Genomic DNA, 12506 nt, shown 5'->3' on the forward strand with positions numbered 1-12506 from the left:
AACCTCTGCTTCCCAGGTTCAAGCGATTCTTCTGCCTCAGCCTCCTAAGTAGCTGGGATTAATTACGCTATCACACCTGACTGGGTGTACGCTATCACACCTGACTAATTTTTGTATTTTTAGTAGAGACAGGATTTCACCATTGTGGCCAGTCTGGTCTCAAAGTGACCTCAAGTGATCCGCCCACCTTGGCCTCCCAAAGTGCTGGGATTACAGGTGTGAGCCACTGCGCCCAGCCGAGCACCTCTGTTTCTTATGGTCTAAATACTTGCAGAGATGGATAGTTTGGTCCATGGGTAGTCCTTTCAAGAGATTATAGTTGGTGTTGAAGATCCTCAAGAACTATAGGCCTTGGTGGAGTTTTTCTAGAGCTGTTGAGCCATTCAGGTCATGGTTCTGTTGTTAACACTGACCCCGCAGATTATTGCAGAAGGATGATTGTCTTCCCTCATCGACTTTCCATGCTGTTTGTACCTTATTTTTTCTTGATAGCCGTTTATAGTTAGGATGTTAAGAATACAGGTTGAGTACCCATCCCTAATCCAAAAGTCCACAATCCAAAATGGTTCAAAATCTAAAACTTTTTGAGCATTGACATGATTTCACAAGTGGATTTTTTTTTTTTTTTTTTTTTTTTGAGACAGAGTCTTGCCGTGTTGCTGAGGCTGGTGTGTAGTGGCACAATCTCGGGTCACTGCAACCTCTGCCTCCTGGGTTCAAGAGATTCCCCTGCCTCAGCCTCCCGAGTAGCTGGGATTACAGGCACCCACCACCACGCTTGGCTAATTTTTGTATTTTTGGTAGAGACGGTTTCACCACGTTGGCCAGGCTGATTTCAAACTCCTGGCCTCAAGTGATCCGCCTGCCTCTGCCTCCCAAACTGCTAGGATTACAGGCATGAGACATGGTGCCCAACCCATGATTGGACAATTTTACACGTAAATACTTAACACAAACATTTTTTTCATGCCTCAAATTATTTAAAAATGTTGCATTAAACTACCTTCAGGCTGGCTGGGTGTGGTGGCTCACGCCTGTAATCCCAGCACTTTGGGAGGCCGAGGTGGGTGGATCACGAAGTCAGAAGTTCGAGACCAGCCTGGCCAAGATGGTGAAACCCCATCTCTACTAAAAATAAAAAAAAATTAGCCAGGTGTGGTGTCGGGCACCTGTAATCCCAGCTACTCCGGAGGCTGAGGCAGGAGAATCGCTTGAACCCTGGAGGCGGAGGTTGCAGTGAGCCGAGATCACGCCACTGCACTCCAGCCTGGGTGACAGAGTGAGACTCCACCTCAAACCCCCCCCCCCCAAAAAAAAAGTACCTTCAGGCTATGTCTATAAAGTGTATATGAAAGATTAATAAATTTTATGTTGGATCTTATCCCAGAGATAGCTCATTATGTATATGCAAATATTTCAAAATCTGAAAAAATCCAAAATTTGAAATGCTTCTGGTCCCAAGCATTTTGGATAATGGATCCACAACCTGTATTCTGTAGTGTTTTGGAAACTTTTAAGTACTGTATTAAACAATTTATCTCTTTGGGTTTATATGCAGTCAAGTTCCTTTAAAAATAGTCCATTGGTTTTATACAGACAATATTTGATGGTGTATAAATAGACTATGATAGGAATGTAGAAATTAGAGAATGCTGAAAAGTGGTGCTAGAAAACTTCGCTGGCAATAGGAAAATGAACTCAGAAACCATTATCTGTTTGTTTACTTCCAAATGTGATCTTGCAGTGCCCTTCAGGTTAGCAGGACCAGGTCTCACTTGTAAGACCTGCCTGGCCTTTCCAGAGGTCTCCACAGCTCCAGCTGTAATGCTTACTTGCACTCCCTCTTTATTGAGATGAAATTCATTTAACACAAAATTAACCATTTTAAAGTGAATACTTCAGTGGCATTCACAATGTTGTGCAACCACCTACTTCTCTCTAGTTGGTGTGCAGTGAGAGGCTGTAAGGTTGCTGGAAATCTATGTGCTTTGGAGTGTAATACACTGGGATTTAAATCCTGGCATGACCACATGCTTGCCATGTGCCCTTGGGAGTGTTAGAAACTACTTCTGACCCTTAGTTTGTTCATCTGTAAAAATGGGGGTATGAATAGAAACATTATAGGGCTTTGTAAGGATGAAGTTAATTCCCTGATAAATGCCTGGTACTTCCCTTCATTCTAGATGTGTTGAAGGATATTCACAGAAACTAGAGTCCATTGGCAGTTCAGTCTTCTCAGAGGCAAAACAGATGTGTTTGGTGGAGCTCATTTAGGCACAGGGAAGCAGCTTTTTTCATGATTCCTACGGATATGTCACCATGTGTGTAAGCTCTGTCATTCCTCGTTGTTTCTTTTGTTGTCTTACAGTTTGGGAAGGTGGTAGTGTATGGGATCTTCCTCTGGACACCACGACACCAGGCCCTGCCCTGGAACAGCTTCAGCAGCTAGAGAAGGCCAAAGCTGCAAAGGTCTGAAACTCATTCTTCTGCAACAGTGCATTGTCATCTGGCTGCAGGACATAAACATTGCTGTTTATTCATCTCTCTAGCTAGCTATGCTTTTTACTTTCAGTTTACTGCTGCTTAGCTGGTATAAGTACATTCATATTGTATCTTTACTGTGCTCTCTTCTCCCAAAAAAAAAAAACTCAAAACAGAATTTAAATTACTATGTTTGGTTTGGTTAGTTGGCACATTGTTGATTATAGACACATATATATTTTAGGTAACATTATTCATGGTATGAACATTTGTTATAAGTAACAAGAATGTGAGAAAATATCCACTACATTGTTTATGAGACTCCTGATATGTGGCATGAGTTCTCCCATTGAATCTTTGTAGTGGTATTTGTTTATATTTCTTAGTATCCTCAGACGTAGCAGCCAAAAAGCCCGACATTAACATTAGATTGTGTGTTCCATTCACATTTTTTGGAAGAGCTAAATCTTGAATTTTGGTTTTAGTACTTGCCAGAAAAGAATGTCTACATCAATACCTAGTGTCATTGTAATGATTTCTAGGTTCTCAGGCGTACAAGAGAGTGTTGTTGCTGTTTTATACTTAATGCATTCTTATCCCCTGAGGTCGTGACAGTCTCCTTAGAGTTCCCAGAATGTGGAAAGGTTCATACAACATTGCTGTTAAAACGTTATAGCCACACTGTTAAATGTTCAATCAGAAAGTTATTTGTAGGGATGAGTAAAGAAGTACCATCCAAGAGCATTCTGATGTTACTCTCATGGGTGGTATAATGGTAACGTGGAGTGTGGAGGCAAGTACAGGTGGGAGGAAAGTGCATTCAATTGAGACAGTCATAAAATTCTTCTAATTACTGTGATATGTCACAGCTTAGAGCTCTTACAGGGTGTTGATGTTGTAGCGTATGTCAGAATTTCCTTCCTTTTAAAGGTTGAATAGTATTAATATTCCATTGTATGTATATAACATATTTTGTTTATCTATTGATCTGTTGGATCACCTGGTTGCAGTGCAGTACGGTACAAGCAGCTGATTGAATGAACGAATACTACTGGTCAGTGCTTTCGGAGTGTTCCTGTGCTTGGTTTCAAGTTTCTAAGAGTACTCTTGTGTAATCACAGCTAGAGCAAGAGAGAAGAGAGGCAGAAATGAGGGCAAAACGGGAAGAGGAAGAGCGAAAGAGGCAGGAAGAACTCCGAAGACAACAGGAGGAAATTCTTCGGCGACAGCAGGAAGAAGAAAGGAAAAGGCGAGAGGAAGAAGAACTTGCCCGAAGGAAACAGGTATGTATCTGGGAACTCTGACCATAGGATTAGTGCTTGATGAGGGCTTTCAGGCTGCTTTCTTTCATCATTTCACAGATACTCCTGAAGTCCACAGGATTGGGGTTAGAACCTTAGAAGACTCACTCACCTTTGGAAAGAATCTCTGTTTTTCACCAACACCCACTGTAGGGATATTCTTCAGTCCTAGTAAACCACTAGAATTGATATTCTTTGCATATTTCCTAGAGTTTTATAAACCAGTTAGATTTCAGAAGTTCTGTCCTTGCATCTAAAAACAATGAGAAAGTAACTTTGATGTGCAGCATTAAATGTCAAATTTTAAAAGTTACATGGGCTTTAAAAAAATTGTGCTAACATATACATAACATAAAATTTACCATTTTAAGTGTACTTTCAGTGGTGTTAAGTATATTCATTCATATTGCTGTGCAACCCTCACAAACATGTCTGTAGAACTTCTCCAACTTTGCAAACTGAAACTGCATATCCATTAAACAAGGAGCCCCACTCCCTCCATCCATAGCTCCTAGTAACCACCATTCTTCTTTCTGTGTCTGTGAATTTAAACTAACTCAATTTCTTATGTAAGTAGAATTATACAGTATTTGTCTTTTTGTGTTGGGCTTATTTCACTTAAGGTTTATTCATATTGTAGCATATATCTGAATTTCCTTTCTTAAAAAGGTTGAATAATATTCCATTGTGTGTTTATCCATTCCTATTTTGTTTATCCATTCCTCTGTTGATGGACATTTAGATGACTTCCACGTTTTAGCTATTGTGAATAATGCTGCTGTGAACACGGGTGTATAGATACCTGTTTGAGTCCTTGCTTTCAACACTTTCCTAGAAGTGGAGTTGCTGGATCATATGGTCATTCTCTTTTGAATTTTTTGAAGAACTGCCGTATTGTTTCCCACAGCTGCTGCACCACTTTATATTCCTACTGACAAGGCACAGCTGTTCCCAGTGTCTCCACATTCTCACCAACACTTGTTATTTTATTTTTTTGCTTTTGCTTTGTTTCTTTTTGATAATGACACTTTTAATGAGCATCAAGTGATATTTCATTGTGGTTTTGATTTACATTTCCCTAATGATTAGTGTTGTTGGGCATCTTTTCACATGCTTATTGACCATTCAAATGTACTTTAAAAAAGTATCTTTGGCTAAGACTTCTGCCTTCTCTTTATTCTTTCCCTTAATGAACCTTTTCTCTCTATTTTAGTGTTTCTAAATAGGGAGCAAAAACAAACTCTACACGTATATTTGCTTTACAACATTTTCCACAATATAGCTGAGCAGAAACCAGAAAGATAAGACACATTTTATTTTTCCCCTAGAAAGTAGGTTTTCATTTGAAGAAATTTAGACAGAAATCACCCAGCAATAATTTTGAATGTAATGATTTTTGTATGTGGTGTGAGATGAGGGTCTGACTTCATTCTTCTGCCTATAGATATCCAGTTTTCCCACCACCATTTATTAAAGAGACTGTCGTTTCCCCCATTGTGTGTTTGTGGCATCTATGTCAAAAATCAATTGAGTATAAATGTGTGGATTTATTTCTGGGGTTTGTATTCTCTTTTTGGTTTCTTTTTTTTTATTTTTTTGGAGACAGAGTCTCACTCTGTCACCCAGGCTGGAGGTATATATTATTTGTACTTGTGTTTTATAGCCCTCCTTTTGACATGAATTATGTCATCTTTCCATGTCAAATGTGTATCTAAAAATCTACATCATCATATTTGCTAGCTGTATTAAATTTCATTTTATAAGTAAATTATAATAAGTTGACCAATTCCCTATTGTTGGACATGAGGGTTGTTTCCAGTTCTTCATTGTTAGATAAGTGTTCGAATGAAAGTCCTTGTAGTTAAGTCTTTGCTTAAGGATTTATAACCAGCGAGGTATATACTTTTAATATTTTTTGGTCTTTTTTTTTCTTTTTCTTTTTTTGTTGTTGGGGGGAATTCACCATTCATGTGCTTGGCTCATTTTTCCATTGGGGTTTTCCTAGCTTCACTTGAAAGGATCCACTCTTTTAATAGCCCCACAGTCTAGCCTTTACCACTTGTTGCCTACTTTTTGGCCCCAAGAGGTGCTCTTTGAAAAACAAAAAAGATCCATGCTGAGATGAAATGAGAACTACGGTTAATTCTTAGAGTCACACTATACTGCAGCATATAGAGGCTCTAAGGATTATTGCAGTAAAAAAGTATGTTTAGTTCTGTGTTGCGCAGTTTTCTATAAATGATCTCAACAATGGGACTTCTTTCTGTGTAATACTTAATAGTATTGGTGGGACTTTTGATCTTCAGAACACGTTCTGGGACACATGGCTTTACTCATTACTTCTGACTGGGAGAACTTATCTTACCCCAAATTTTTGGTGGCTATGTTGATTTGCCCTCTCTATGCCTTAAGTTCCCAGTTAATTAAAAAAATAGGGATTAAAGATACCAGTGGAGAAACAAAGCTATACTTCTAATGTAGCTCTTTCTACGGTTAATCAGTAAATGATGTAGCTAATATAGAAACCAGGGTAGACTTCACAGTTTATTGTAATTTAACTGCTAATATTTTAAATTCAATTTTCTTTTCATTGTAATGCGTCCAATTCCCCAATTTACATGTATACTTTTTACTCCAGATCATGATTACTTTTATGTTTACTGTTTAACAGAGTCTTAGCAGCAGATAGCCTATTACTTTCCAAATATGACATAATAAATTGAATGATAGACCTGAGTCCCTCCCCCACCCCCCACCCTCCATCTTTTTTCCTTAGGAAGAGGCTCTGCGTCGCCAGCGGGAGCAAGAAATTGCATTAAGGCGACAGCGAGAAGAGGAAGAAAGACAGCAGCAAGAAGAAGCTCTTAGAAGACTGGAAGAGAGGAGAAGAGAAGAGGAAGAAAGGCGGAAGCAGGAAGAATTGTTACGCAAACAGGTGACCAGATGGTTTTGTCTTCTAATTGTTCCTTTGAAGCTGGGAATTAGTGATTTAGAAAATATTAGGACATTAAGGTAGCCTATCTAAAATTTTTTCAGGTTGCTAAAAATTAACCAAAAGAAACCTAACTGGCTCTTATTACTTCTGTCTAAATTTCTTCAAATGAAAACCTGTTTTCTAGAGGAAAAATAAAATTTGTCTTATCTTTCTGGTTTTTGCTCAGCTGTATAGTGGAAATGTTGTAAAATACATGGTCTTTTTTAAAGCAAGTTTCAAACTAAAGCGGAATAGTACAACAAATTCTCATAAATCACCCAGCAATAATTTCTTTTTTTTTTTTTTTTTGAGATGAGTCTCACTCTGTCGCCCAGGCTGGAGTGCAGTGGTGTGATCTTGGCTCACTGCAAGCCCCGCCTCCTGGGTTCATGCCATTCTCCTGCTTTAGCCTCCCAAGTAGCTGGGACTACAGGCGCCTACCACCATGCCTGGCTAATTTTTTGTATTTTTAGTAGAGACGGGGTTTCATTGTGTTAGCCAGGGTGGTCTCAATCTCCTGACCTCATGATCCACCCGCCTCGGCCTCCCAAAGTGCTGGGATTACAGGCATGAGCTGCTGTGCCCGGCCATCACCCAGCAATAATTTCTAACGTAATGATTTTCATGTATGGTATGAGATGAGGCTATGATTTCATTCTTCTGCCTGTGGATATCTAGTTTTCCCACCACCATTTATTAAAGAGACTGTTCTTCATTGTATGTTTTTGGGATCTATGTTAAGGAGCGTAAATGTATGGATTTATTTCTAGGCTTTGTATTCTCTTTTTGGTTTCTTTTTTTCTTCTTCTTTTCTTTTTTTTGGAGATCAAGAGCCTCACTCTGTTGCCCAGGCTGGAGTGCAGTGGCGCGATTTTGGCTTACTGCAACCTCCACCTCCCCAGCTCAAGCGATTCTCGTGTCTAAGCCTCCCAAGTACCTGGGACTGCAGGCAGGCATCACCACGTCTGGCTAATTTTTTTGTATTTTTAATAGAGATGGGGTTTTGCCTTGTTGGCAGGCTGGTCTCAACTCCTGGCCTCAAATGATCTGCCTGCCTCAGCCTCCCAAATGCTGGGATTACAGGTGTGTCTTTTTGCTTTCTTGACAGTGTTCTTTGAAACACGTAAATTTTTCACTTTGACAATGTCCAATTTATCTTTTTATTTTACTTATTTACTTACTTACTTTCTTATTTTAAGACAAAGTCTCGCTCTGTTGCCCAGGCTGGAGCGCAGTGGTGCCATCTTGACTTACTGCAGCCTCTGCCTCCCAGGTTCAGGCAGTTCTGCCTCAGCCTCCCGAGTAGCTGGGACTACAGGCATGTGCTGCCACGCTCGGCTAATTTTTGTATTTTTGATAGAGATAGGGTTTCACCATGTTGGCCAGGCTGGTCTTGAACTCCTGACCTCAGGTGATCGCTTGCCTTGGCCTCCTAAAGTGTTGAGGTAGAGGCATGAGCCACCGCGCCTGGCCAATAATGTCCAATTTATCTATTTTTTTTCTTACAAGTTGTATACTTTTAGCTCTTACTTTTAGTTTGGATTCCTTATATTCTCAGTACATGTCCTTTGTTAGATAAATGTTGTGCATACTTTCCTCCAGGCTATAGCATGTCTATTTATTTTCCTAGGGGGATCTTTTGATAAGCAGAGATTTTTAATTTTGATGAAATCCTATTAAATTTGTCTTTTATTAGTGTTTTTTTGTTTCTATGTAAGAAATACTTGCCAACCTACAGATTATTAAAATATCTCCTGTATTTTTTTTAAAGCTTTATAGTTTTCGTTTTACAAATAGTTTGAATTGTTTTTTCTGTATGATATGAGGTATGGGTTGTTCCAGTGCCTGTTTTTGCAAAGTCTTTACTTTTTCTATTGAATTTTTGATGCTTTTGTCAAAGTCAATTGTATAAATATTTTTTTTTTTTTTTTTACTGGACTCTTCCCTTTTCTTCCATTGATAAGTTTGCCTGTCCTTAAATGAGTACACACTGATTTGATTACTACTGTACCTTTATAGTAACAGAAGTAAGTCAGTATGTCTTCCAGCTTTGCCTTTTTATTCAAGACTGCTTGACTAAGATCTTTTGCCTTCCTATTAAAATTTAAAATTATCTTCTTAATTTCTATATAAGTAAAAGCCTCCTGTGGTTATGATATGGATTGTGTGGAATCTAAATTGAAGAGAATTCACATTTTAAGATATACTGAGGCTTCCAGGCAATGAACATGGTATAACTTTCCATTTGTTTATGTTTTCCTTGTTTTTTCTCAGTACCATTTTGTTTTCGTTATACAGGTTATGTACATCTTTAAAAAACTGATTTTTTTCTTTTTTGCTATTATGAGTGGAATTTTAAAAGTTTATTTTCCAGCAGGCTGGGTGCAGTGGCTCATGCCTGTAATCTCAGCACTTTGGGAGGCCAAGGCGGGCAGATCACGAAGTCAGGAGTTCGAGACCAGCCTGGCCAACAGGGTGAAACCCTGTGTCTACTAAAAATACAAAAATTAGCTGGGCGTGGTGGCGTGCGCCTGTAATCCCAGTTACTTGGGTGGCTGAGGCAGGAGAACTGCTTGAACGCGGGAGGCGGAGGTTGCAGTGACCCGAGGCACCCCTGCATTCCAGCCTGGGCGACAGGGCAAGACTCTGTCTCGGAGGGGGAAAAGCTGTTTATTTTCCAGTTCTATGGAATTGGAATTGCCAGTTCTATAGAAATGGAATTGATTGGTTTTCATATATAGATCTTATATTCTGACACCTTGTGAAACTCAACTTAGTACCTCCAATAGTATTTTTGTTGATTCCTTAGGATTTTCTATGGAATCTTATTGATAAATAGGAGCAGTTTTAATTCTTCCTTTCCAACCTTGGATAGAAGTGGTTAAAATGTATAATAGCCTTATTTCCAGTATTGGGGTGAAAATGTCCGGTATTTCACCATTAAATATATTGATAGTTTTTCATAGGTATCCATTATCCAGCTGAAGAAGTTTCTTTCCAGTCCTAGTTTACTGAAAGTTTTTCAATGAATAGATACTGAGGTTGTAAAATGCTTTATCTGCATTGATTGATGATCATTTAGTTTTTTCATTCTGCTTATATGGTGAATTATTAATATTAATATTAATAACTGAGTTATTAATAACTGAGGTTTGAAGGTTAAGTCAACTTTGTGTTCCTGGATTACCACCCTACTTGATACATATGTTAACCTAATTTGGTACTGTTTTGTTAAGAATATTTGCATCTAATTTGGTACTGTTTTGTTAAGAATATTTGCATCTGTGTTCATGAGGGAGAGATAGGTCTACAATTTTCTTTCTCTTTTTCCTTTCTTTCTTTCTTTTTTTTTTTTTTTATTGAGATGGTCTCACACTGTCACCCAGGCTGCAGTCTTGGCTCACTACAGCCTCAACCTACCATGCTCAGTCAAGCCTCCCACCTCAGCCACCTCAGTAGCTTGGGCCACATGCTCATGCCACCACTCCTGGCTAATTTTTTTATTTTTTGTAGAGATATGGGGTCTTGCTGTGTTGCTCAGGCTGGTCTTGAATTCCTGGACTCAAGCAGTTTTCTTGTCTCAGCCTCCCAAAGTGGTGGGATTACAGGAGTGAGCCACCGCAACCTGACCTGTAATTTTCTTGTAATGCTTTTGTCCCCTTTTGGTGTTAGGTTTATACTGGCCTCTTAAATTGGAATGTGATACTTTCATTGTTTTCCGAAAAAGTTTGTGTAAGATTGGAATTATTTCTTCATTGAATAGAGGCATACCTCATTTTATTGTGCTTCACTTTCTTGTGCTTTGCACGTATTTCATTTTTTACGAATTGAAGGGCTTGTGGCAGCCCTGCATCGACCAAGTCTGTTGGCCAGCAGCATGTGCTCACTTTGTCTCTGTGTCACACTTCGGTAATTCTTGCAATGTTTCAGATTTTTTTTACTGTTATATCTGTTACGGTGATCTGTAATAAGTGATTTTTGATGTCACTATTGAAATTGTTGTGGAGTGCCGTGAACTGTGCCCATGTAAGGCAGCAAACTTAATCCATACCTATAGTGCATGTTCTGACTATTGACTGGCTATTCCCTGTCTCTCTTCCTCTCCTTCGACCTCCCTATTCGCTGAGACACATCATTATGGAAATTAGGCCAATTGGATAACCTACAATGGCCTCTAAGGGTTCAAGTGAAAGGAAGAGTCATGTCTCACACTTTAAATTGAATGCTAGAAATGATTAAGCTTAGTGAGGAAGGCATGTCAGAAGCTGAGATAGGCCAAAGGCTAGGACCCCCTGTGCCAGTTAGCTAAGTTGTAAATGCAAAGGAAAAGTTATTGAAGAAAATTAAAAGTGCTACTCCAGTGAACACATGAATGACAAGAAAGCCAAACAGCCTTATTGCTGATATGGAGATAGTTTTAGTGGTCTGGATAGAAGATCAGACCAGCCGCAACATTCCCTTAAGCCAAAGCCTAATCCAGAACAAGGCCTCAAAACTCTCTTCAATTCTGTGAAAGCCGAGAGAGGTGATGAAGCTGAAGAAGAAAAGTTTGAAGCTATCAGTGGTTGGTTCATGAAGTTTAAGGAAAGAAGCCATTTCCATAAAATAAAAGCACAAGGTGAAGCAGCTAGTGCTGATGTAGAAGCTGCAGCAAGTTATCCAGATGCCCTACTTAAGATCATTGATGAAGGTGGTTGCACTAAACAACATATTTTCAGTATAAATGAAACAGCGTTCTACTAGAAGATATTATCTAGGACTTTCATAGCTAGAGAGGAGAAGTCAGTGCGTGGCTTCAAAGCTTTAAAGGACAGGCTGACTCTCTTTTTAGGGGCTAATGCAGCTGGTGACTTAAAATTGAAGCCAGTGCTCATTTACCATTCTGAAAATCCTAGGGTCTTTAAGAATTATACTAAATCTACTCTGCCTGTGCTGTATAAATGGAACAGCAAAGCCTGGATGACAGCACATCTGTTTACAGTGTGGTATATTGAATATTTTAAACTCACTGTTGAAGACCTACTGCTCCTTTCAAAATATTACTGCTCATTGACAATGCCCCTAGTCATCCAAGAACTCTGATGGAGATGTACAAGGAAATTAATGTTGTTTTCATCCATGCCAACATAACATTCATTCTGCAGCCTGTGGATCAAGGATTAATTTTGATGTTCAAGTGTCATTATTTAAGAAACATACTTCATAATGCTCTGTGTGTCATGGGTAGTGATTCCTCTGATGGATCTGGGCAGAGTAAATTGAAAACCTTCTGTAAAGGATTTGCCATTCCAGATGCCATTAAAGAACATTAGTGATTCATGAGAGGAAGTCAAAATGTCAACATTAACAGAAGTTTGGAAAAAGTTGATTCCCACCCTCATGGATGACTGTGAGGGGTTCAAGACTTCAGTGGAGGAAGCAACTGCGGATGTGGTGGAAATAGCAAGAGAACTAGAATTCAGAAGTAGAGCCTGAAGATGTGACTAAATTGCTATAATCTCATGGTAAAGTTTGAATGTGTCAGCAGTTGCTTCTTATGGAAGCAACTACTTCCCATATGCAAATAAAGAAGTTTCTTAAGATGGCATCTACACCTGGTGAAGATGTCGCGAACATTGTTGAAATGACAACAAAGGATTACATAAACGTAGTTGATAAAGCAGTGGCAGGGTTTGAGAGATTGACTCCAATTTTTTTTTTAATTAAGTTCTAGGGTACATGTGCACAGCATGCAGGTTTGTTACATAGAT

General features: G+C 39.1%; 1 protein-coding gene across 5 annotated transcripts in view; it reads left to right on the top strand.

Annotated features, from left to right (window-relative positions):
• GIGYF2 (GRB10 interacting GYF protein 2) overlaps positions 1 to 12506 on the top strand; it is a 163275-nt gene that overhangs the window by 115938 nt on the left and 34831 nt on the right. For all 5 annotated transcript variants that reach the window (NR_103492.1, NM_001103146.3, NM_015575.4 and 2 more), the window contains 3 exons: positions 2369 to 2469; positions 3603 to 3764; positions 6559 to 6717. Coding sequence is in view for 4 of the 5 variants with exons in the window: in NM_001103146.3 (NP_001096616.1) it covers positions 2369 to 2469; positions 3603 to 3764; positions 6559 to 6717 (422 nt within the window). In the remaining variant the exon portion in view is untranslated. The remainder of the gene's footprint in view (positions 1 to 2368; positions 2470 to 3602; positions 3765 to 6558; positions 6718 to 12506) is intronic.

This window comes from Homo sapiens, chromosome 2 (genome assembly GCF_000001405.40).
Source record: "Homo sapiens chromosome 2, GRCh38.p14 Primary Assembly".
In the NCBI taxonomy this organism is placed as follows: domain Eukaryota; kingdom Metazoa; phylum Chordata; class Mammalia; order Primates; family Hominidae; genus Homo; species Homo sapiens.